Source organism: Homo sapiens, chromosome 15, assembly GCF_000001405.40.
Source record: "Homo sapiens chromosome 15, GRCh38.p14 Primary Assembly".
NCBI classification, from domain to species: Eukaryota; Metazoa; Chordata; class Mammalia; order Primates; family Hominidae; genus Homo; species Homo sapiens.
This window is the reverse complement of record NC_000015.10, coordinates 20,729,747-20,756,992: the sequence shown is the minus strand read 5'-3', so window position 1 is coordinate 20,756,992 and position 27,246 is coordinate 20,729,747. Positions and strand designations below refer to the sequence as shown.

Sequence of the window (27,246 nt, the reverse complement as noted above, 5' to 3'; positions counted from 1 at the left end):
AATTCTGCAGGCTAATGTGGGTAGGTTACAATTTTGGGGGGAGGGGTTTATTTTGTTTGAAAATTCACTTCTTCCCGCTAAGCTTTTGATTAGGAGCTGAAGTTGAATCAGCTTGAAATTGTATTCTGGACCGGGTGCGGCGGTCCATGCCTTTAATCCCAGCGCTTTGGGAGGCCGAGGTGGGTGGATTGCTTGAGCCCAGGAGTTCGAGACCAGCCTGGACAAAATGGCAGAAACTCCGTGTCTACAAAAAATACAAAAATTGGCGGGGCATGATGTTCTGCGCCTGTAGTCCCAGCTACTCAGGAGGCTGAGGTGGGAGGATCACTTGAGCCCGGGAGGCGGAGTTTGCAGTGAGCTGAGATGTCACTGCATTCCAGCCTGGGCGACAGAAAAAAAAAAAAGAAACGAAAAAAAGAAATTGTATCCTGAATACATCTTCTAAAACACTACATTTACTTGCACTATATTAAACTGGTTTTATCCTGACCACAATTGCAGGTGAAAGATAACCACTGTTGTTCTATTTTTCTGGTAAGTAGAGTGAGCCATGTCTTGCCCAGGGAAAGACGCCTCCTAAAAATTTGTAGGACCACCTTTGGTTATCTTCCAGATTTTTTTTTTGTCATCGCTTTTCCTGCGCCCAATTCCCATCTGTCTAGCCCTTCTGCCTCCGCTGGTCTTTTTCGCGAGCCTCTCCCCAGCCGCTGGTATTCGTCTGGGCTGCAGCCCCGCCTATCTCCTGGGGCGTGACCACCTGTCCAGGCCCCGCCCCCGTCCAACAGGCGGAGACCCGCCCCCTTTCCCGGACACCGGCTTCAGCGCCCGAGCGTGCGCGCGGGTCTCCGCTCGTCGCCCGGCTCGGCGTCGGGAGTGCACTCTGTGTGGCCGCTGCTGCAGTGTTGTTGTGGTTGTGAGAAGGCGGCGGCGGCGGCGGAGTAGCAGCCGGACCAGACGCCCTAGTAGCTCAGTCGCTGCCCTGCGCCGGGCCTGGCAGGGAGCCTGGTGAGATGGTGGAGGAGGAGGCTGTGCCGTGGCGGGCCTTGCCATGTCCTGCTGCCTGGTAAGAACCCCATCCCCGTCCCCTGTCTCCTCCCGGGGTGAGGAGGAGCTGGAGGAGGGGCCGGCCTCTGTACGGCCCCGGCCAGGCGGCTGTCACCCTCTGAGGAGGCAGCGCCAGGGGAGGGGCGTCCCGGGCGGCCGCCGCCGCCAGGGGGAGGCGCTGGGAGTGGGAGTGGGAACGGGACCTCAGCGGTCGAGCTCGGCCGGGACCCTAGGTGCGGGGGAGGCGGGGTCCCGGGCTCCGGCTGCCTGCCCAGACCTGGCGGGGATGGGCCCGTGCGGCTCCGGGTGTGGGACGTATCCTGGGAGCGCCCGGGGTTATTCCCACTGACTCCCGGGAGGTGGGTGTGCGCCCTTCGCCCCCTGCCTGGTCTGTGGGGATCCATCGTTGCTGGAGACTGGAGGTCGGGGGCCATGGGAGCCCCGGGGCGAACGGTGCGGGCCTGGGTCTTGTGGAAAGGAGGAGCGACCGCCTGAGCGTGCAGCAGGACATCCTCCTGACCTGGTAATAATTAGGTGGGAAGGATGGTTGGGGGCGGTTGGCGTAACTCAGGGAACACTGGTCAGACTGCTCCCCAAACGATTACAGTGTTATTTCTCCGGTAGAAATTTTCCTTGATGTATGGTATTTCCGGACCCATAAGATGATGTCAGTCGTATTTTGGGCTGGAAAAGTTATGTCAAAATTATGGGGTAGATTTTATGGCCACATTAATAGACTCCCCTGGAGTTTGATAATCTCACTTGTGAGTTTTGGACATGAACTACTATTACATATTGATGTTCAAATGTCGTTTGCAGACCGAGGCCTAAATTCTTACTGTTCTAGTATCTTGATATCCACTTTGTTTTCTGACATCTGTTTTTCCACAACCCAAACAAACAAAACAACATCCCCAAACCATATACTTTTCCAGTTGAGGTTCAACTTTCTCTTATGTGAATGGTAATGCCATGAGAGGCCTGGGTTGAATTACAGGAGATGATTTTTTTTAAATGTTAAATGTTTATGATTTGTCCGTGGAGAGGTGGTGGGGGACCATCCCCTTTCAGATTCAGGGCTGTTCAGTAGGACAGGAGACATTGATGGCATGCAGAAAGTCTTCCCTTTATAGGGCCTATGACTTGGGCAGGCTAGAAGAGCTTACAGAATGACACTTTTTTTTTTTTTTTGAGACGTTATCTCGCTCTGCCGCCCAGGCCGGAGTGCAGTAGTGTGATGTCTGCTCACTGCAACCTCCGCCTCTCGGATTCTAGCAATACTCCCACCTTAGCCTCCCAAGTAGTTGGGATTACAAGTGTGCGCCACCACGGCTGGCTAATTTTTGTATTTTCAGTAGAGACAGGGATTTCTCCATGTTGGCTAGGCTGGTCTGGAACTCCTGACCTCAAGTGATCCACCTGTCTCGGCCTTCCAAAGTGTTGGGATTACAGGCGTGAGCCACCACCCCCAGCCAGAATGACACTGTTTTGAGTAACCCAGTATAGTATGTGATATTAAACTAAATTTGGAGGATTCTAGAATTCTAGATTGGCTGCCTATGATGACAGACCTCTTTTGGCTCCAATTACTCCCTCATTTTCAGGTGACTCAGAGAACTTCAAGTGACCAGCACAGTGGTACAGCCCCACTTGTCGTTAATGGCCAGCCATAAAAGAACCCAAGTTTCTCAGCTCATAGGCCAGGTTCTTCAGTGGTTGTCTAGTTTAAGGCTGGTCATTAGCAATATTATGGACGACCTAAGTTCCTCGAACTTATGCAGTTTATAGCTTTTTAAGAATTTAAGAAGTGGAGAAGGGGAAGCATGAGAAACTTAAAGGATGCAAATTGAGCATCTCTTAAAATATAATGGATTTGTGTAGGTGAAACAGATTTGTTGCCAAAAGTTAATTTGTGCACAAGTTATCAGGAACACACTTGATAAAATTAGATGCTGATTAATTGGAGATACATTGTATCCAGAGATACACAAGAATCCAGAGGAAATAAACAGAGAAGGAGAGGAAGTAAGTCAGCTTCTGGCTCATAAAGGGGTCCACTGAAGATGCTCCCTAACATGGTTGCTCCTAAACCATCTGACTCAGATTTCTAGTGGAGGGTAGGATGGGTGTGTTAGCAGTCATTTGAGATCAGGGTTGTGAACCAGGAAGGGTTACTACAGATTGTGAAAAGTTCTTGAAATTTGCCGCAGGCCGTGAGGAGTGGTAAAGTCAGTTTAAAAATCTGCTGTAGTTCTAGTTAACACGTTCACACCTTCTTTAGTGAAGTAGAATGCTGAGTTACCAAAGGACGTATTCACGTTTTAGAGGGGGTGTGGTGAAGGTTATTATAAGTTTGGAAGAGGTGGAAGAAAATGTTGTTATAGTTGTGTAGAGTAGTGAAGGACTTTGGCAAATATCCTGTCAAATCATGAAGTAGTATTTTTAGAGAGTTGCACCCAGCTGTCCATTAGAAGAGCCAGAGGCCTCGTCTGTTTTGTTCCCTGGTGTCGCCAATACCCAGCACAGTTATCAGCATATTCTATACCCTCAGATTTTTTTTTTTAGTAAGTGAATAGTATTGATATGGAAAAAAGAACAGTTATGGTGGTTTATAGCCGTGTTAGTTATTAAAAGCTACTTGATAATTTGCAATGGATTAAAGAGCCAGTTTTTGATCAAGTAGGGCTCTGGATAGGAAAGAAAATAAAAAAAATAAAGAGCCAGCTTTCAGTGCTTGTTGTTTGGAATTTTTGAGATTCCTTTAAGAAATTGTTTTCTAAAGACTGTCGTGAACATTGTTGTGTCCCCTGGTTTTTGAGTCTTAATGTGTCTTAAGTGTTTTAGATGTTAGTGACTTTTTTAAGAGCACATTAAATGCAGAGGTAATATAGAATAATGGGAAGTTCTGGATTGACAGATAGACATATATTCTGATTCCATCTGTGTCATTAATTGCTGTTGGGAATGTCACTTAACTTCTCTGGGCATCAATTTTCTCATCTATACAATTAAGGGCCTATAGTCTTTGACCTCAAGTAGTTTCTCTAGCCTGATTCTGTAAATTTTTAATAAGTTCTAATTATGTTATTTGGTATTCATCTCATATAGGTAGACTAACCTTTGCCATTTAAAAGAAACAAGATTCTGTGTTGGGTTCTGCTTTTAGCTTATGGATTTTAGACATTGTCCAAAAGTGCTTCGGAAATTGAATGTATGTTGCAAGTATTATGTAGTAAGAACATGCTTATGCTGTTGTAATTCGCTTAGTGTTGAAATCAAATCAGGTTTTACATTGGGAACTTCATAATTTAGTGTGAAGCCACAAGACTTGAGAATGATTTGGGGGAGTATGTGCAATTTATATAGCTAGTTGTTTCTTACCACCCAATTCTGTAATTTTCTATGGTGAATATATACATAAATTTATAATCATGTAACATTGATTGAAGATATAAGATGATATCAGATTCATATTGGATTGAACTAGGACTGCCAGTAACTTTAGAGGCCTCCAAAATTATTAACATGTCATTGCTATTTTTAATCTTAATTTTTTGGTATCATCAATATTGATATCATGCTTTCACCTTTGCTTTTGTATCTAGAAACAATATACTTTTTAAGTTCATACTTGTATCAGATATTAAAAATGAAAATTGTAGCATAAAAGTGGATAGATGAGTAAATCTTGGGTTCAAGCCTGCGTTGTATTCTTCATTAGCCGTGTTGTTTCTGGCAAGCCACGTAACCCCTCTGAGCTCCAATTCCTTCATTAGTGAAAGGAAGAAGAGCAGCTTCTCTACTTTTCTAACAGACTGCCAGGGGGAGAATGCAACGGAATAATGTGTTTGAAAAGTATTCAAAAAATGTAAGGGTCTGGTATTAGAATCCTATGATATTGGAATCCTGTTTTATTTCTTGGAAGAATTGGCTTGTGGAGCAGTAGTAAACCTGGTCCACATTGTCAAGTGCAGAATTTAGCAATATCACTGATAAGGCAACAGAAAAGGTTTCTGCTTCTGTAGTCTGGCTGGAGAAACCTTTCAGCAAATGTATCCTGTCTGCCAGTTGGAATAATCACAATGTTGCAGGGACTTCAGAGGAACCTGGGGTGTCTCACATTTATGCCAAGGTCTGTACTTAGAATAGACTTGCTAGATTTTACCCATTTTCTTATGTTGGAGTCGTGGGAGAAGGTGGTAGGAGCAAGGAGTTTAGCACACTCTGCATAAAGTTTTAAGGCTACATTTTTAAGTAGCAGGTGGCAGTGTCATAGGGTAATGAAATCAATGTACTTATTTTAAAAAGCATTTTAAAAAAGAATATATCAGTACATTGTGTAAAGTAAAAGTAAATATTGATTTGGGAAACTTCTCTTTCTTTTTAAAAGATATGTTTATGTATGTATACTTGGTTGCCGTGTAAAATGTATTTTTTCTTTTTAAAAATTATTATTTTCATTTTTTGTAGAGACAGGGTTTTGCTACATTGCCCAGGCTGGTCTTGAACTCCTGGGCTTGAGTAGTCCTGCCTTGGTCTCCCAAAGTGCTGGGATTATAGACATGAGCCACTGCACCTGGCCTAGAAAGTTATTTTTTCTTTTGGGTCGTGATAAAACTTGGTCGTAGTTGTTTAGGGACATAGTACTTGTGCAATGCCGATAGAATGACTGTCTATAAAATAATAAGGCATGAAACAAATGAAAACAAAGAGAAAATTGTGAAGATGGGTTACCTTAAAGCTATTCTGTTAGCGGTGAAATACCTCATAGCTTTGTTCTAAATTGTTGAATTAATGAACAAAGCACATAAACTTATGCTATAATAATCTTCTTAAGTACTCTTTTCCCTTAAGATGGAGTGTGGAGTACTTGTTAACCACACAGGTATTGTCTTGATCTGATAACTATAGATATTCAGAATGATTCTGTTATGACAGATGGTAGCAAGCTTTTCTGATTTCACTTATCTGGGGTCTAAATCTAATTTCTTTAGTAGTTAATACATATATATATATTTTTTGAGACAGAGTCTTGCTCTGTCACCCAGACTGGAGTGCAATGGCATGATCTCGCCTCACTGCAACCTCCGCCTCCCAGGTTCAAGTGATTCTCCCTGCCTCAGCCTCCCGAAGTAGTTAATACTTTTGTAACTTAGTTGCAGAAGAGAGATAGAAATTTCTGAATAATTTTCAGAATTATTCATAGATTTATAATCTGGCAGAATATAAGGAAGTTATAAGTATATTGATAAATCATGACATAACTGGCAAGAATTGGTATAAAGACAAGATGGTTAACTTGAAACAGGGTTGTTGTTTATTATATGCCTATCATTTTTCCATGAGATAAACCAAATATTAGATTAAGTATTTAGACTGATCCACAAATGACATGGGAAGACAGAGTGTTTACAAAGAGTTTTAGAAGTGATACAGGACAATAATTTGGAGTTTTAACTTAATCTCATTTTAAATTTCAAAGTGAAATTATTTCTGATTATGAAAGCTACAGAACTTTTTTTTAGATGGAGTCTCATTGTGTCACCCAGGCTGGAGTGCAGTGGCGTTTTCTCAGCTCACTGCAACCTCTGCCTCCTGGGTTCCAGCAATTCTGCTGCCTCAGCCTCCCGAGTAGCTGGGATTACAGGTACCCACCACCATACCTGGCTAATTTTTGTATTTTTAGTAGAGACAGGGTTTCACCATGTTGGCCAGGCTGGTTTCTAACTCCTGACCTCAGGTGATTCACCTGCCTTGGCCTCCTAAAGTGCTAGGATTACAGGCGTGAGCCAATGCATCTGGCCCAGAACAGTTTTAATGTTTTTCTTTTTTAAAAAAAGTAGAGATAACCTGTAATCCCATCTGGATGTGATGTTTGGTGTTTTCATTTTTTTTCTTATGCATACCTATTGAAATACCTTAAAAAAGAACAACTTTCCATGTAAAATTGATATTCCCTTAATGAGTAAATGAGTATTTAGTGTTCTATAATATGGATGCATCATAGTTTATAGCAGTTCTGTGTTGTTAATGGATATTGCCAATTTTTCTCTTAAAGTAGTACTGTGATGAACTTGTTTGGGCATTGAATTGTCCTATTATTTCCTTAGGATAATTTTTTTTTTTTTTGAGACAGAGTCACTCTGTCACCCAGGCTGGAGTGCAGTGGTATGATCTTGGCTCACTGCAGCCTCTGCCTCCCAGGTTCAAGTGATTCTCCTGCCTCAGCCTCCTGAGTAGCTGGGAGTACAGCCGTGCACCGCCACGCCCAGCTAATTTTTTGCATTTTCAGTAGAGATGGGGTTTTACCATGTTGGCCAGGCTGGTCTCGATCTCCTGACCTCGTGATCCGGCCGTCTTGGCCTCCCAAAGTGCTAGAATTACAGGCCTGAGCCACCGCGCCTGGCCCAGGATAAATTCTTAAAAGCGGATTTATTAGCCAGGCATGGTGGCTCATGCCTGTAATCCCAGCACTTTGGGAGGCCAAGGCGGGTGGGTGGATCACCTGAGGTCAGCAGTTCAAGACCAGCCTGGCCAAAATGGTGAAACCCCATCTCTACTAAAATACAAAAATTAGTCTGGTGTGGTGGCGAGGGTCTATAATTCCAGCTACTTGGAAGGCTGACGCACAGAGAATCACTTGAACCCAGGAGGCGGAGGCTGCAGTGAGCCGAGATTAAGCTACTGCACTCCAGCCTGGGCGACAGAGTGAGACTCATTCTAAAAAAAAAAAAAAAAAAAAAAAAAAAGGGCTTATTAGGTCAAAGGGTATGTGTGTTTTAAATGTGGATATACTCAAGATGCCCTTTAGATAGGATGTCTATTTGAAATTCCCGTCAACAGCATATTAGTATTCAATTCCATATATTCTTGCTAGTGATTTGTCATCTTTAGCTTGTTGGGAGTTCAAAATAGTTTGAAACAGTTTTTCTTCTGTTTCTTTTTCAGCATCAGGACTTACTTCCATAGCTTAACTCTTGGGAGGGAGCTGATAAAAATGAAAGTTCAGTGACAATGAGTCGTGTAGACCAGTGGTCTCCAAACTTTGGTTGCTTACCCCATCACCAAAAACTTTTGAGCATTAAGCAGGTGTGGTACGTGGTCCTGTGGTCCCAGCTACGTAGTTGGCTTAGGCAGGAGGATATTTGAGGTCAGGAGTTCAAGGCTAAAGTTCACTGTGATTGTGCTTATGAATACCGCCGCTGTACTCCAGCCTGGGCAACATAGTGAGACCCTGTCTCTTTAAAAAAAAAACAAAAAACTGATGGGATGGGAAGAATGAAGTCAGGAAAAAAAATTGATACAACTTCATGTTGTTGCTTTGAAAAAAGAGAAAAAGAAAAATATTGAGCATCAGTTCTTAATCCTTAGATATTTAATTTACAAGTAATAAACATATAGTAACTGATTATTGTGGACTTTAAAATACAAACAAAAAATTAACAAGGATGATAATTAAAAATAAAGTTCAAATATTTTCCTTTTTTACCCTGGGGCTTCTTGGGTACTCCTGGAGGTGTGTGTGTGTGCAGGCATGTGTATATGTGTGTGTGTGTATATGTATAATATATATGTATATATAATAATATATGATCTATATACATATTTTTGAGACAAGAGTCTTGCTCTGTTACCCAGACTGGTGTGCAGTGGTGTAATCTTGGCTCACTACAACCTCCGCCTCCTGGGTTCAAGTGATTCTTGTGCCTCAGCCACTTGAGCAGTTGGGATTACAGGTGTCTGCCACCATGCCTGGTTAATTTTTGTATTCTTTGGTAGAGATGGGTTTTCCCATGTTGGTCAGGCTGGTCTTGAACTCCTGGGCTCAAGTGATCCGCCAGCCTCAGCCTCCCAAAGTGCTGGGATTCCAGGTGTGAGCCACCATGCCCGATCTCCTGGAGGTATGTTATACTTGCTTTGGATACTACTGCTTTAGACCCTTGAGGTTTAATATTGGGCATTTATACATGTTTGTTTTTGGGCATTTCACTAGTTTTGCAGGTGGTCCTGTTTAGTTGGATTATGAATGCCTTTAAAATGTCCCATGCTAGGCCGGGCATGGTGGCTCACGCCAGTAATCCCAGCACTTTGGGAGACCGAGGCGGGTGGATCATGAAGTCAGGAGATTGAGACCATCCTGGCTAACACGGTGAAACCCCATCTCTACAAAACTACAAAAAGCTAGCTGGGCGTGGTGGCACACGCCTGTAGTTCCAGCTACGCGGGAGGCTGAGGCAGGATAATCTCTTGAACCCAGGAGGTGGAGGTTGCAGTGAGCCGAGATTGCACCACGGCACTCCAACGTCTGTGACAGAGCGAGACTCCATCTCAAAAAAAAAAAAAAAAAAACTCCCCATGCTCTTTAGAGTCGTATCTGCAATAAGGGCAAAAATAAATTTAAAGCATCAGTTTGATACTTTTTTGCATCGTTGAGGTGGCTGAATTTGAAAAGGATAAATCGTAGGATAAAAAGCAATGTAAATAGTCTATTTCTTTTAGATACAAACAGTTGATACTGTGTAGAGCATATTTTTAAAAATTATGTTTTTTGGAAAGCAATTTGGCTATAATATATATCTCCCTGTTTTTTAAGAGGTTAGGTGTTAGAGACTGAGTGAAGGGAAGAATAATTGCTACTTGCTCTCCTTTGCTTTCAAAGTACCACAATTAACCTGTCACTAACTATTTGGATTAGCCTGAGCCTATAACAAACTTTCCATGGTGATTCTTAGATTAAAAGATAATTTTTTTCTTGAGTTTGAATAAGTTGCTTTTGATCTGTGGCTGCCTGCCCCCTAACCCCTATAAATTATGAAATCAGGAAATAAAGCTTTTTGTATTAGAAAAAAGTGAATCTTTTCTCCCCCATCATGGGAAAATTAATTTCAGTTACTTCATATGGGTCATTGGCAGAGAAAGATAATATCAAAATCTTAGAGACTGTCAAAAGAGATTATATTAAGCAACTTGAGTGATTATTTTTTGCCAGTTAAAAGAAATGAGAGGCCGGGCGCGGTGGCTCACACCTGCCATCCCAGCACTTTGGGAGGCCAAGGTGGGCGGATCACAAGGTCAGGAGATGGAGACCATCCTGGCTAACACAGTTGAAACCCCATCTCTACTAAAAATACAAAAAATTAGCCAGTCGTGGTGGTGGGTGCCTGTAGTCCCAGCTACTTAGGAGGCTGAGGCAGGAGAATGGCCTAAACCCCAGAGGCAGAGGTGGCAGTGAGCCGAGATCACGCCACTGCACTCCAGCCTGGGTGACAGAGCGAGTCTCCATCTCAAAAAATAAACAAATAAATAAAGATAATTTCTATTGAAGATGATTGCTATAAACAGTGCTTTGCACAAATGGCTACATATCTCTTTTTACTTTAGGTAACATGATTTATAAGCTACTTTCACATATATCTTCTTAGATCATCACAAGGATTTGAGATCATCATTTAATCAGGACTGTTGTGACTTGCTTGAGGCCACATGCCTAGTGTTTGACATCATACTTCAAGAGACAGATTGAAAGTTCTGCAGAAATAGGGACTGGTGGCTGTTCTCTCCCTTACTCCCTAGCAGTTAATACATTGCCTGGTACAGAGTAAGCTATCAATATTTGTGGACTAACTGTTTAAACTCCTGCATATTTATTTATACGTGTAAATAAGTTATAGCATTATAAAATCAACAGTTACGTTTTCCGTAGTTAGATTGTTCCTTCATCTTATGTGCACAGAAACTATTTTTGTGGAAGAGGTCATGAATTTTAGATCAACCTTTCACATATCCCTTTACTGTCTCTTAAGATACTTTCATGGTGACAAAAAACATACTCTTGTTCTAGATCCCTGAGGAATTACCACACTGACTTCCACAATGGTTGAACTAGTTTACAGTCCCACCACCAGTGTAAAAGTGTTCCTATTTCTCCACATCCTCTCCAGCACCTGTTGTTTCCTGACTTTTTAATGATCGCCATTCTAACTGGTGTGAGATGGTATCTTATTGCGGTTTTGATTTGCATTTCTCTGATGGCCAGTGATGATGAGCATTTTTTCATGTGTCTTTTGGCTGCATAAATGTCTTCTTCTGAGAAGTGTCTGTCCATATCCTTCACCCACTTTTTGATGGGGTTGTTTGTCTTTTTCTTGTAAATCTGTTTGAGTTCATTGTAGATTCTGGATATTAGCCCTTTGTCAGATGAGTAGATTGCAAAAATTTTCTCCCATTCTGTATGTTGCCTGTTCACTCTGATGGTAGTTTCTTTTGCTGTGCAGAAGCTCTTTAGTTTAATTAGATCCCATTTATTTGACCCAGCAATCCCATTACTGGGTATATACCCAAAGGATTATAAATCATGCTGCTATAAAGACACATGCACACGTATGTTTATTGCGGCACTATTCACAATAGCAAAGACTTGGAACCAATCCAAATGTCCAACAATGATAGACTGGATTAAGAAAATGTGGCACATATACACCATGGAATACTATGCAGCCATAAAAAATGATGAGTTCATGTCCTTTGTACGGACATGGATGAGGCCGGAAACCATCATTCTCAGCAAACTATTGCAAGGACAAAAACAAACACCGCATGTTCTCACTCATAGGTGGGAATTGAACAAAGAGAACACATGGACACAGGAAGGAGAACATCACACACACCAGGGCCTGTTGTGGGTTGGGGGGAGCGGGGAGGGATAGTATTAGGAGATATACCTAATGTTAAATGACGAGTTAATGGGTGCAGCACACCAACATGGCACATGTATACATATGTAACTAACCTGCACGTTGTGTACATGTACCCTAAAACTTAAAGTATAATAATTTTAAAAATACTCTTAATGTCATTCCTTTCACTGTGTGTGTAACTCCTGTGGCAAGACTGTATATTCGTATATATGTATGTATGTATTTGTTTATTTAGTAGGCTGCTATTTGTAAAGGAAACATACTCATTAGTTGGTCTTTGCATACATAATGGTTCCCAAAACATGGACTCCATGGTTTGCTGTGAGTGAATGAAGAAAAAGCAGGCATGATTTCCCTCACCTTTGTCATTCTCTCCAGTTTCCTGTACATATGGTTGACTTACTCAGCAGTAAGTGTAACTTCTTTACACTGAAGAAAATTAGTCTTCCAAAGAATTAGTATGCTACTTCCCCCTTGTTCTGCAGTACTTAAAATCCTGTTTGGTAAATGAACTAATACACTTTGATATACAGAAGAGACCCTGGATTGCCATGAATGGAAATATTAGTAGTGATTAATTTCTGTCTCGGTGGGATAATGTGGCTTTTTTGCTTCTTATTCTTCTATAGTTTCCCATTTTTCTACAATGAGCATGTATTACTTTTATAAGTAGGAAAAATTGCTATTTTATTTTTATTTTTTAAGACAGAGTCTCACTCTGTCACCCAGGCTGGAGTGAAATGGTGTGATCTCAGCTCACTATAACCTCTGCCTCCCAAGTTCAAGCGATTCTCATGTCTCGACCTCCCAAGCAGATGAGACTACAGGCACAAGCTGGCCACAGCCAGCTAATTTTTGTATTTTTTAGTAGAGATGGGATTTCACCATGTTGGCCAGGCTGGTCTTGAACTCCTGACCTCAGGTGATCCGCCCATGGCCTTCCAAAGTGCTGGGATTACAGGTCTGAGCCACCACGCTCAGCCAAAAACTGCTATTTTAAAGTCTTTATTTTTCACTGGATGTCTTGTGAAGGTTTAGGTCACAGTCACCATTGAGAAAGTGGGTGGTTAACTGGCTCCAGTTCCTAAGACGAGTGGCAGCTGTAGGAAGTAGTATGGGAGGAATGGGGCAGGTAAGCTTATTTGAACTTTATCATTGTGAACTCTACTATGACTGAAGACATTGTGGGATTTGATCACAGTTAAACACAAGAGGACTGAGCCATCTAGTTTTTCTCTTTTTAATAAGCTGATTGAGAATTATGAAAGATACCTTAAGAAAAATTGGTTTCTATGAACTCTGTAAATGCAGAACTCAGCCTGAACTCCCAAGTTCTGTATCCGTGTATGTGTGTTTGTGTGCTTGTGTGTTGTGGTGTGTTTTAAATATCAAGTGGAGTTGTAGCAACTCAGGTAGGATATGGTTTATATTAATACATCTAATATGAATTGGAAGAGATTTAGGCAAATGATTTTTATTATGACAGTATAGGCTTATTGGAGATTTGGTGTTAATATACAGCTGGGAGTTAAGCCGTTCTACGTTTATATACCCATCTGGTGATATTTTAGGAAGAGCTGTGTCATATATTCTCTAGAGTTTAAGTGATTAGAGCTTGTTGGCTTTTGCTGTTTACTGCACACTTGTAGTGTTTTAAATGCTTCTGTGAATGGAGAACATCATTCAAAAAGGTGAGATTTCTGGGTTAAGACATTCGTTATTGTCTGCCCTTACTTTGTTCTTTTAAAGAGTAAGATTAGGCTGAACGCAGTGGCTCATGTCTATAATCCCAGCACTTTGGGAGGCCAAGGTGGACAGATGAGATCAGGAGTTTGAGACCAGCGTGGCCAACATGGCAAAACCCCGTCTCTATTAAAAATACAAAAATTAGCCGGGCGTGGTGGTGGACGTCTGTAATCCCAGCTACTCAGGAGGCTGAGGCAGGAGAATCACTTGACCCCTGGAGGTGGAGGTTGCAGTGAGCCGAGATTTGTGCCACTGCCCTCCAGCCTGGGTGACAGAGGGATACTCTGTCTCAAAAAAAGAAAGTTGAAGAGCAGTTGAGGTAATAAATGTAGGTACTGTTAGGTTGGTACAAAATTAATGGTGGTTTTGGATTGCGAATTTTAAATTATTATAACTAGGCCCAAACACATCTTTATCAAAATAGGAAACATTACAATCAACACATTTTTTGCCAATGAGAAATAAGTTTGTTTATTCCTGTAGCATAAAAATCCATGCTTCGGGATTCGATGAACTCTTGGAAAGCATTTTCTGCATCCTGATGGTTGTGGAAGCATTTTCCCTGCAAAAAATTTTCTAGATGCTTGGAAAAGTGGTAGTCGGTTGGTGAGAGGTCAGTTCAATATGGTGGATGAGGCAAAACTTTGTAGCCCAAGCCCAATTCATTCAACTTTTGAAATGTTGGTTGTGCAACATGTTGTCGGGTGTTGTCGTGGAGAAGAACTGGACCCTTTCTGTGGACCAGTGCCAGCTGCAGGCCTCGCAGTTTTCGGTGCATCTCATCGATTTGCTGAGCATACTTCTCAGATGTATTGGTTTTACTATGATTCAGAAAGCTGTAGCGGATCAGACCAGGAGCAGACCACCAAACAGTGACCCTGACCTCTTTTTGATGAAAGTTTGGCTTCAGGAAGTGCTTTGGAGCATCTTCTCGGTCCAACCACTGAGCTGGTCATCACTGTTGTTGTATAAAATACACTTTTTGTCAAACGTCACAATCCAACTAAGAAATGGTTCGTCGTCGTTATGTAGAATAAGAGAAGACAACACTTCAAAACGACGATTTTTAAAATTTTTGGTCAGCTCATGAGGCACCCACTTATCAAGCTTTTTCACCTTTTGGCAGGGCGTGGTGGCTCACGCCTGTAATCCCAGTACTTTCGGAGGCTGAGGCGGGCAGATCACTTGAGGCCAGGAGTTCACGACCAGCCTGGCCAACATGGTGAAACCCCAGCTCTACTAAAAATACAAAAAGTAATCGGGTGTGGTGGTGGGTGCCTGTAATCCCAGCAACTAGGGAGGCTGAGGCACGAGAATCACTTTAACCCGGGAAGTAGAGGTTACAGTGAGCCCAGATGGTGCCACTGCATTCCAGCCTAGGTGATAGAGTGAGACTCCATCTCAAAAAAAAAAAAAAAAAAAAAGCTTTTGCACCTTTCCAACTTGCTTAAATTGCCAAACAAGCGTAGAATGGTTGACATTGAGTTCTTCGGCAATTTCTCGTGTAGTTGTAAGAGGATCAGCTTCGATGATTGCTCTCAATTGGTCAGTGCCAACTTCTTCTGGCCGGCTACTACACTCCTCATCTTCAAGGCTCTCGTCTCCTTTGCAACACTTCTTGAACCACCATTGCACAGTTCCTGGGCCAAGTGTGTAGTTGATGTTGCGAGTTGTCTCCACTGCTTTGCGACCCATTTTGAACTCAAGAAAATCGCTTGAATTTGCTTTTTTTTATAATATAATTTCCACTGTCTAAAAGAATAAAACAGCAAATAATATGTTATTAGCAAAAAAGGTGAGAAATGTGCATTAAAATGGTATATAAATAACCACATATATTTAAGAATGTATTCCAGTATCAAATAGCAAGTTTCAACAATACGAAAACTGCAACTACATTTGCACCAACCTAATATAATTTTTTTTTAGTTAGAAATTTTATAGTACAGAATAACAGGCTTATCACACACACACACACACACACACACACACACACACACACACACACACACACATCCTGTACTGAATCTACAAAGCCTGTCTCTGAATTCCAAAATCTCGACTTTTTTAGAGCAAAGTTTAAATATTTCAAAAATTTAGAAAAATATGGAGAATAATTTAACAAACACCAGGTACTAATTCAGTAGATTTTTTTTTCTTTTTTCCTTTCCTTTTTTTTTTTTTTTTTTGAGATGGAGTCTCGCTCTGTCGCTCAGGCTGGAGTGCACTGGTGCAATTTCAGCTCACTGCAACCTCTGCCTCCTGGGTTCAAGTGATTCTCCTGTCTCAGCCTCCTGAGTAGCTGGGATTACAGGCACACGCCACCACACCCAGCTAATTTTTGTATTTTTAGTAGAGACTGGGTTTCACCATGTTGGCCAGGATGGTCTCTTATCTCTTCACTTCGTGATCTGCCCACCTTGGCCTCCCAAAGTGTTGGTATTACAGGCGTGAGCCACCGCACCCAGCCCATTCAGTAGATTTCATAGATGCTGACATCTTATCAGATTTGCTTCAAAAGTGTATTTATATATGTTTTTATTTATTATTTTTGAGATGGGGTCTCACTCTGTTGCCCAGCCTGGTGTATAGTGGTAAAATCCCTGCTCACTGCAACCGCCACCTCCCAAGTTCAAGCAATTCTCGTGCCTTGGCCTTTTGAGTAGCTGGGATTATAGGAGCTTGTCACTACTCCCGGCTAATTTTTGTATTTTTAGTAGAGACGGGGTTTCACTATGTTGTCCAGGCTGGTCTCCAACCGACCTCAAGTGATCTGCCCGTCTTGGCCCCCTAAAATACTGGGATTACAGGGGTGAGCCACTGTGCCTGGCCTAAATTTGTTTTTAAAAATAAAATATGCATACGGTTGGAGTCCCTTTTGTCATCCTCTTAGATCCTATTTTCTTATGCAGAAGTTATTTATCTTTTTAGCTCATGCACTTATATTCTTCCTACAAATATCTACATATATTTAACATGTAGTACTATTGTGTTTCAAATTTATGTGATATTTTGGTACATACATTCTGTAATTGGAAAGTTACATTTATTTATGCTGATATATGTGTATTATTAGTAGTATTATTATTATGATTATTTTGAAACAGAGTCTTACTCTGTCACCCAGGTTGTAGAGCAGTGGCACAATCTTGGCTCACGGCAACCTCCATCTCCCAGTTTCAAGTGATTCTCGAGCCTCAGCCTCCCGAGTAGCTGGGATTACAAGTGTGAGCCACTGCACCTGCCTTACTTCATTAATTTTAATAGCTGTGTAGTATTCAGTCATATGAATGAATAGTATGCAATTTTAGTTCTTTATTGATAGTTGTTTTCAACAAATATACAAATGTAAAATTTTTCCTCAAATTGGGTCAAGCTATATATATTGTTCTAAATTAGCTCTGTTTCTCGCAATAATAATAGTGTGCAGGTTTGTTACATGGGTATATTGCATGAGGTTTGGGGTACAATTGATCCCATCACCCAGGTAGTAAGCATAGCACCCAGCATGTAGTTTTGTTTAAGTTTTTTGAGACAAGGTAGGTCTCTGTCCCCCAGGCTGGATTGCAATATTGCAATCACTGGTCACTGCAGTTTTGACCTCTTGGGCTCAGCCGATCCTCCCAGCTCAGCCTCCGGGGTAGCTGGAACTACAGTGGTGGGCCACCATACCCTGCTATTTTTTTGTATTTTTTTGTAGAGACTGGGTTTTGCCCTGTTACCCAGGCTGGTCTTGAACTCCTGGACTCAAGCAATCCACCCACCTTGGCCTCCCAAAGTGCTGAGATTATAGGCGTGAGCTACTGTACCCAGCCGCCAGTAGGCAGTTTTGAGCTTTCGCCCCTTCCCATCCTCTCCTCTCTGTTAGTTCCCTGTATCTATTGTTCCCATGTTTATGTCCATGTTTACCCAATGTTTAGCTTAGGATGATGATCTCCAGCTGCATCATGTTGCTGCAAAGGATATGATTTTGTTCTTTTTTATGGCTGCAGTGAACCTTTGGGTAAAGAAAATTTACAAAAATATCTCACATCAGTGTTTTTTTAATCAAAGTAAGTAGTAGTAATCCATAGTTCAGATCTACTTTGTAAGTGAGACACAAATAAAGACAGTAGTTACATTACACATTTTATAACATTACCTTGATGTGGCAAATTTTTCTTGTTTTGTTTTTGTTTTACATGAGTTAATTTGGATGAAACTTTCTTGAATTACTTACTTTTATAGCATTTACCTCCAGTGGGGTTGAGATGAGGAGCCTTCAATCCAACAAAGTTGTATACATGCATTCATGGAGATGACACTTAGGTTATTTAATCAGGAAACACTCCTGCTTGTCCACATGTAGATGCTACACGTGGAGTTAGTCCTATTCTTTGGAAGTTTCACTATGTTGCCCACACTGGTCTTGAACTCCTGAGCTCCAGTGATCCTCCCACCTTGGCCTCCCAGAGTGCTGGGGTTATAGATGTGAGCCACTGTGCCCAGCCAGAAATGTGATTTTAATTCCATAATATATGTTACTGTGAATACAGTATATGTTTATTCCATAAGTAGCAAATTGACTCCTTTAACAGTTTTAGTAGTTTTCCAGTTGTTTTGTCTTTAGTTTCCCAGGCAAATAATGCTATTGTCTTCAATCACAGTATTAATTAGTTCATCCCATTCTTCATATTGATCATTTTTTTGGATATGAAATAATACAGACTACTGTAATAATAAAAAGATGGAAAGCCTCACCAATTTGCATGTCATCCTTGTGCAGGGACCACGCTAATGTTCTCTGTATTGTTCCAATTTTAGTATATTTGCTGCCGAAGCGAGCACTCCATTTCTGTAAAGCTTAAAAAACAGACAAAACTAACAGATGGGAATGGAATCAGAATAATGGTTATCTTTGGTGATGAGGACAAGGGAGATTGTAGGTGTGCTGGTAATGTTCTCTGTCTTGATCTGGGTCATGATTTCATGGTTGTGTTCAGTTTATGAGAATCATTGAATAGTAGACTTAGGAAGTGTGCACTTCTTTGTACATGTATTATATACCTCAGTTAAAAACTTTTGCCTCTCACAAAATTTTAAAGAACATAATCTGCTTAGTTTGTCACCTTTTAGCTTTTAATGTAACTTTTCCACTACTTCTCTTCATATGTGAATACAAGTGAATACTAGTGTATTAGGTAATAAGCCACTTAACCTTTCTATTATGATATAAAACATACAGAAGAGTGCACAAATCAAATGTATAGCTTAATGAAATTTTTAAATTATTAAATTGGAGGTTTTTGGGGGTGCATTATACCCGTATCTTTGTTAGGAGGGAAGGAATTCATGGAGGGCTAAAAATTTTGGAGAGGACAAAGTTTTAAGGAGTCTCAATACCAAATCCTCATCTTGGCTCTGCCTTCAAGTTACTGTTTCTTTGGGTAAGTCATTTAACTTATTTATAGTTCACTTTTTTATATATAAGAGGTATAATACTTAACCTTTCTTTTGCAAACTGAATTAGGTAGGTGCAATTCAGGTAAAATAATAGGAATATAGAGTAGTATTACTAGATAGGTCTTTATTTAGGCCATTGAATTTAGGCCACTTACCTTACAGGGCAGAATTGTGGTATGCAAAGACTACACAGCTGGTGATTATTGGTGTCATTCATTTATGTTAGGTTGGTATTGAGACTTAGTTAACTATGCCAGGCATTACCCTGTGATTTATTATAATACATGTATTAACTCATGTAATAGTCTAGGATTATTCCTAGAGGTAGGTAAAATTATCCCAATTTTACTGATGATACAATCGATGGAAAATTACGTTAAATAACTTGCCTAGGTGGGTTGAGTTCTTGAGCCTGTGCTTTAAAAAAAATTTTTTTTTGAGAAAGGGTCCCACTCTATCACCCAGAGTGGAGTGAGTGGCGTGATCTTGGCTCACTGCAGCCTCTGTCTCTAAGGCTCAAGCCATGCTCCTGCCTCATCCCCTGAAGTAGCTGGGACTACAGGTATGGGCCACGTTTTAATGTATTTTATAGAGACGGGGTTTTGCCACATTTCCCAGACTGGTCTCAAACTGCTGGACTCAAGCGATCTGCCTTGGCCTCCCAAAATGCTAGGATTACAGGTGTGAGCCACTGCATCCAGCCTAAGCCTGTGCTCTTTTTTTGTTATACTGCCTAGTTATGTGAAAATACTTAAAGACTTTTAGGCAAATGTTAAGATTTTATAATAATCTGTTAGAGAGTTTTTGAAGTAAAAATTTTGGTATTTTGAACCAAAATTAGGAGAAGAGTCTCATTGTTTTGACCATCATGATTCTGGAAAAGATGGATGTTAATATTTATTACTTGGGCTTTATTCCCTTCTTAACAAAGCTAATTTTCTCCTAAAATGACTTGGTTGCAAGCACTAGGTAGTTTTCTTTAAGAATATATGTATATTTTAATCTTAAAGGATTTTGTGACTAATTTACAAATATTGTTTAATTTTTAGGCAAAATGTTAATGGAAGGGAGTTTTCAAACTTGGAGGCAGATCAGACCAAGGTTTAGTGTTCTTGCCTCAGTGGTTTAAGCAGCATCTATTTGGTCTTAGTATAAGAGTAATAATTATGATTCTATCATATGTATGGTTGAAAATTATCTTTATTAAGGTGTATTTGAATATGGTTCTGTAAGACTGGGAAACACATCTAGTTGTGCAACCACCATGATGATCAAGATATAGAGTTAGTTTCTCAAAAGATTTCCTCATGACCCTTTCCATAGTCAGCCCATTTCCTTACCTCTAGTCTCTGGCCACCACTGATCTGTTTTTTTCTCTGTCTTGTCTTTTTTTTTTTTTTCTTTTCAGAATTCCGTGTAAACAAAATCACGCAGTATTTAGCCTTTTTGTTTTAATTTTTGTTTGTTTAATAGAAATGGGAGGCCTTGTTATATTGCCTATGCTGGCCTCAAGCTCCTGGTCTCAAGGGATCCCCCTGCTTGACTCAGTATGTGGCTTCTTGAGACGGACGTCTTTTATTTAACCTAATGTATTTTGAGATTCATCCATGTTTTTATGTATCAGTAATTACTTTCTGTTGCTTAGTAGCATTGCGTTGTATGGATGTACAACAGGTTCTGTATTCATTCCCCAGTTCATTTGGGTTGTTTCCAGTTTTTGGTAATTACGAATAAAACTGCCATAAAAGCATTCATGCATACATACATACACACATGTGCCCTCGTATTTTCTTATGGTTTAAAAAGATATGGTGCCTAGAACTTTTATAACTTTACTACAGAACCTGAAAAAGCTGATGATTTTCACAGAACATTGTAAATTGCTTAGTAAACTTCATCCCCCAAAAAGCCCACTCTGGAATGAGAATAATCTGTTTGTATAAATAATCTTGTGGTATAAACTGTAAGTCATTAGAATTTTTTAAATTAAAGAAGTACATACACATATTTATTTAATGGGTAAATTTATATATAAAACTCCTTAGTGCATAGTTTTATATTTTATGTTTTTAGTAGCTTTTAAATCGTGAATTATTGACTTTTTTGTTCCTCTAAGTAGTAGAATGGTTATATAATTGGTTATGAAAGTTTTTGTTTTTTTTTTTTGACAGGGTCTGGCTATGTCATCCAGGCTGGAGTGCAGTGGCGTGATCTCGGCTCACTGTAACCTCTGCCTTCTGGGCTTAAGCTATCCTCAACTTCAGCCTCCTGAGTAGGTGGGACTACAGGCATGTGCCACCACACCTGGCTAATTTTTGTAAACATGGGGTTTTGTCTTGTTGCCCAGGCTGGTCTCAAACTCCTGAGCTCAAATGATCAGCCCACTTCAGTCTCCCAAAAGGCTGGGATTACAGGTGTGAGCCACCATGCCCACCCAAAAACTCTTACTTATAAATTTGAGATGAAAAATACACAGAACATGATTAATAGCAGATTAAACATTGCCAAATACAAGACATAGCAATAAAAACTATCCAAAAGGAAATAGAGTAAAAGGATTTTAAGAAACTAAACTGTGGAACACCTTCAAGCAGCCAATAATACATGTAATTTGAGTCCTAGAAGGACTGAAAAGAGGAGGGACAGAAAAAATAATACAAAAAAATGGCCAAAATGTTTTCAAATTTGATATAAACTATAAATCTCTTATCCAAGAAACTCAGTAAAGCCCACCTATAAGAAATATGAAGAACTCCACAAAGGTTCATAGTAATCAAAGTATTGAACCCTAGTGATACAGACATAGAGGGATGGGACACACCATACATAAAGATTAACAAAGGATGCTGCCAGAGTTCTCATCACAGATACCAGAATCTGGGAGGATATAGAAAAAATATTTTAAATTCTAAAAGAGGACATACTGTTAACTCTGAATTCTGTAACCAGTGTAAATAACTTTCCAAAATGAAGGGGAAATAAAGATATATCCAGGCAGAAAAAAACTGTAAGAATGTATCACCAGCAGACCTGCTGCACAGGAAATAAAATAGGAACTCCTCAGGCAGAAGAAAGATGATATCAGATGGAAATATTGATCTGTAATAAAGGATGAAGAGCTCTGGAAAGTAACTGTGTAGGAAGATGTATAAGACCCCTCCATTAAAAAATCTTGAAATAATAATTGAATTTTATACAGAAATAACAACAGTGTTTTGTGTAGTTTGTAATTTATGTGTAAGTGAAATGCAGGACAACAATAGCGAAAGGCCAGGAAAGGAAAAATGAAAGCATGTTACTGGAAGGTTCTTACACCACACATGAAGTAAGATAACATGTGAAAGTAGGCTGCAGTAACTTAGAGTTGTAAAGCAACCACTGAAATAACAAAACAAAAAGTTTTGTTATCATATAAGCCAACAAAGAAGATGAGATGGAATAACAACAACAACAACAAAATCCAAAACAGGGCACTAAACAGGAAAGGGGAGCAAAGAACAGATGGATTGAGTAAAAGATGAATAACAAGATCACAGGTGTAACATAACCATTTCAAAAATCTTGTTAAATGTTCTAAGCATCCCAATTAAAAGGTAGAGGTTGTCAGCTTTGATGAAAAAAATGAAGACCCAAGTACATGCTGCCTGTGAGAAAGACATTTTAAATGTAAAGATACAAACATATTAAAAGTAAAAGATTGAAAAAGAGTTACCATGAATCAAATGAAAGCTGGAGTGGCTATATTCATATCAGATAAAGTAGACATCAGATAAGAGAATATTATCAGGGATGAAGAATGTCGTTTTGTAAGGAGAACAGGGTCCGCTTCTCAGGAGGACGTGATAATTCTAAGAATAACAAGCACTACGTATGTCATCACAGAGCCTCAACACAAATGAAACAAACACCAATAGAACTCAAAAGAGAAATAGACAATTCCACAATTATAGTTGGGGATTACATCACTCACTATCAATAATTAGTAGAACAAGTAGAAAAAAAATCAGTGAAGATACAGCAGACTTAAAAAAATAAAACTATCAAATAACTTGATTTTATTGATATTTATAAATCAGTCCACCTGACAGTCACATAATATAAACTCTTCTCAAGCAAACACAGAATATTTATCAAGATAGAGTACATTCTGTGCCAGAAAGCAAGTCTCAGAATATTTGGAGTGATTTAAGTCATATGAAGTATGTTCTTGGACCACATTGGAAATAAATTAGAAGTTAATAATAATAACTTTTCTGGAAAAACGTCAAGTATTAGGATGATGAATTACACATGTCTACATATTGCAAGGGCTAAAGAAGATTTCAAAAGAGAAACCAATGCATTTTCAGCTAAGTGAGAGTGAAAACAATATTTCAAAATGTGTGGAATGCTGATAAGGCAATATTTGTGTGTAAAATTATGGGATTAAACACTATAGTAGAAAAGAGAATAGATTTTAGATTAATTAACTACCCCAGCTTCTGCCTTAATAATTGGAAAAACAAGATCAAATTAAACACAAAAAACAATTTTGGAAATACTAGAGATCAGAGTGAACATCAATAAAACAAAAAAAAAATAGAGAAAAATCTATGAAACCAAATATTTATAAACTTCTAGCAGGCTGATCATCAAAACAAAAAAGAGACAAATTCCTAATATCAGGTATGAAAGAAACTATACCAGCACAGATTTTGTAAAAATTAAAAATGGAGTAAGGGAATACTGTGTACAGCATTACCTAATAAATTTTGTAACTGAGATGAAATGAGAATTTTTTTGAAAGATACAAATTGCTGTAGCTCACTCAAGAAGAATCAGATAATTGAATAACTCTATATTTATTGAAGTAATTGAATTTTAATTAAATGCTCATCCTACAAAGGAAACTCTAACCCCAGATTGCTTCTCTGAAGTTTTTTGTTCAAACCTCTAAGGAAGAAATATTACCAATTATACTTAAACTCTTTCAGAAAATTGAAGAGTAGGAACTAGTTACCAACTTATTTTATAAGGCTAGTATCACCTTGATACCAAAGCTAGACTAAGATATTACAAAAAAACTATAAACAAATATTCTTTTTGAATTTAGATATAAAAGTTCTTTACAAAATGTTAGCAAATCAGTTCCAACAATACATAAAAATTATATTGTACCGTGGACAAATATAATGTATCTCAGAAAGGTTGGTTGGTTGAACATCCTCAAATCAATCAATGTATTGCACCATATTAATAAATGATCATGTCAATAGATGCAGTAAACACATTTGATGAAGTCATATATTTACATTTGGAACATTTAGAAGGGAGCTTCCTCATCCTGATAAAAGGCATCTGTGAAAAATCCTACAGCTAACATCATTGTTAGTAACGAAACACTCAATGCTTTCTTGTTTGTCTTATCAGGAACAAGATGGGATGTTTGCTCTCACCACGCTTACATTTAACATTGTTGTGGAAATCCTAGCCAGACAAGAAGCTGAGATAGAATACGTCCAGGATAGAAAGAAAGAAGCAAAACTGCACACAGACAAAATGAACATCTATGTAGAAAATTCAATATAAAATACAAAAAAAGCTATTAGAACTAATAAATGAGTTTAGCAAGGTTGCAGGATACATGAACAATATACAAAAACCAATTGCATTTTATACTAGCAACAAATAACCAGAAATTGGAATTTTAAAAGCAATGCCATTTAAAGTAGCATCAAAATATATTAAACTCTTAGGAATAAATCTGACAAAAGATGTGCATGACCTGTACACTGAAAACTGTGGAATACTGAGAAACATTAAAGATAACCCAAATACATGGAGAGATACACTGTCTTCATGCCCTGGAAACCAATATTTAGAACATAAATGTTCCCCAAATTGATAGATAGTTTCAACACAATCCTAGTCAAAATTCTAGCAGGATTTTAATATTTTTTGGTAGATATTGACAAGCTGATTCTGAAATTCATAAGAAAATGCAAACGATCTAGAAGAGCCAAAATAACTGAAAAAAGAACAAATTTGATAAATTAACTTTACCTGATTTCAACAATAAAACTATAATATATATGATATGAAATTCAGAACTGTATATACAGATACAAAAATATTTTGTGTATATCCATCTCTATATCTATGTATCTGTTTATACATTTGCTGATATATATTGCAGGATCCTCTATTCTGTTGCTTTAATATATGCAGTATTTCCAACAAGCTGCAAAAGCTGTCAACAAATTGTGCTAGAACCTCAGATAACCATATGCAAAAAAATCAACTTTTGTCTATATTTCTTAGCATATATGAGAGTTAATTCAAAATAGGTCATGTAACTAAATGTAAACCTAAAACTAGGAAGTGCCTAAAAGTAAACAATGAAGAAAATCTTTCTGATTTTGGATAAGGCAAACAATTCTTTGATACAACATCAAAGCACAATGTATAAAACTTTTTAAAATGTGATAAAAGTTTGGGGCCAGCCACGTTGATTCATGCCTGTAATCCCCGCACTTTGGAAGGCAGAAGCAGGTGGATCACAAGGTCAAGAGATTGAGACCATCCTGACCAACATGGTGAAACCCCTTCTCTACTAAAAATACTAAAATTAGCTGGGCGTGCTGGCTATACGAGCTGGGACCTGTAGTCCCAGCTACTCGGGAGGCTGAGGCAGGAGAATCGCTCGAACCTGGGAGGCGGAGGTTTCAGTGAGCCGAGATCGCACCACTGCACTCCAGCCTGGCGACAGAGTGAGACTCTGTCTCAAAATAAAAATAAAAATAAAAAATTGATAAAATTAAAAATTTCTGTTCTTTGAAATTTACTGCTAAGAGAAGTAAACAAGCCACAGATTTGGAGAAAATATTTGCAAATCAGATATGACAAAAAAAACCTTGTATCCAGAATGTATGAAGAATTTTAAAAACTCAATAATAAGAAAATAAATAACCCAAATTTTATTTTTTTCAGATGGAGTCTTGCTCTGCTGCCTAGGCTGGTGTGGAATGGCACAATCTCGGCTCACTGTGACCTCAGCTTCCCAGATTCAAGCGATTCTCCCCCCTCAGCCTCCCAATCCCCCACCCCCACCCCTGCGAGTAGCTGGGATTACAGGCACCCGCCATCATGCCTGGCTAATTTTTGTATTTTTGTAGAGACGAGGTTTCACCATGTTGGCCAGGCTGGTCTTGAACTGACCTCAGGTGATCCACCCACCTTGGCCTCCCAAGTGGTGAAATAACAGGTGTGAGCCACCGCTCCCCAACTCAACCCAAATTTTTAAAATGGGCGGAGTATTTGAACAGGTTCCTCAACAAAGAAGATACATGTGGCAAATAAGCGCACAAATGAATGCTCCACACCACTAGTAATTAAGGGAATTCAATTACTACTTACTGGAGGCTAAGAGACCAGTTAGGGGGTTACGGGAGAAATTGTGAATTAAAATTATGTATGATAGTAGCGGTGGGGATGGAGAGGAGAGGATATGAGGAATATTGAGGAGATAAAATTGCAAAAGCTTCACACTTGGTTGGAAGTGGAAGCTGACGTGTAAGAGAATCAGCAATGATTCTCAGGTTTCCAACTTGAGCAAAGGGGCGGAGGCCACTGATAGACTCTGAGGTCATAAAACACAAGGTGGAGCAGATCTAGGCGGGTATGGAGGAAGAGATGTGACCATTGAAGTATTTTCTTTGTTGTTGTGTTGTTGGAATATTTCAAGTCAAATCCCTGACATCATGTTGTTCCATCTCTACACACTTCAACATGTATCACTAAAAGTAGGGACACTTTCTCCCATAATCACATTGCTGTGATCGCTCCTGAAGATGTGCTCAATGATTCTGATTATCATCCCATACATAGTCCACAGTCATACATACTTGATTATCACAAGTATTTCTCTTTTTGCAGTCTGTCTATTGGAATCAGAATCCTGACAAGGTCCACCCTGCACACCACTTTCTCACAAAGGTCCTCTCATCCTGAGCAGTCCTCCCTGCCACTGATTTGTTGTCCTTCATAATGTCCCACAATCTGCACCTGTCTTTGTTCTCCCTCATGATACTGCTTCACTTCTATGCCCTGAATTTCCTATAATGGGGAAGGAGCTCTGAAGCCTGGTTGTAGGAACACTTCATGAACAGTACTGTGCATGGCACACAATCTCTAGCCATCCCACTTGTCACGCTAAAATCGATGACTCGCTTCTGGTAGTGTCAGCCTGACTCTTTGGACATGCTGAGTAAGCAGAGCGAGAAAGGAAGAGGGCTTCGACCAGAGGAAGAGGAGCAGAGAAAACAGGGAAGGAGAATTC

The 27,246-nt window shown here is 39.5% G+C and overlaps 2 pseudogenes across 1 annotated transcript in view; one reads left to right on the top strand and one right to left on the bottom strand.

Moving 5' to 3' along the window:
• Positions 1-841: 841 nt before the first annotated feature.
• Positions 842-27,246, top strand: part of NBEAP1 (neurobeachin pseudogene 1) — an 86,684-nt pseudogene continuing 60,279 nt past the window's right edge. Inside the window, exon 1 of the transcript NR_027992.1 lies at positions 842-1,063. The product of NR_027992.1 is annotated as a neurobeachin pseudogene 1 (transcript). The remainder of the gene's footprint in view (positions 1,064-27,246) is intronic.
• On the bottom strand, positions 18,208-18,314 carry RNU6-498P (RNA, U6 small nuclear 498, pseudogene; annotated as a pseudogene).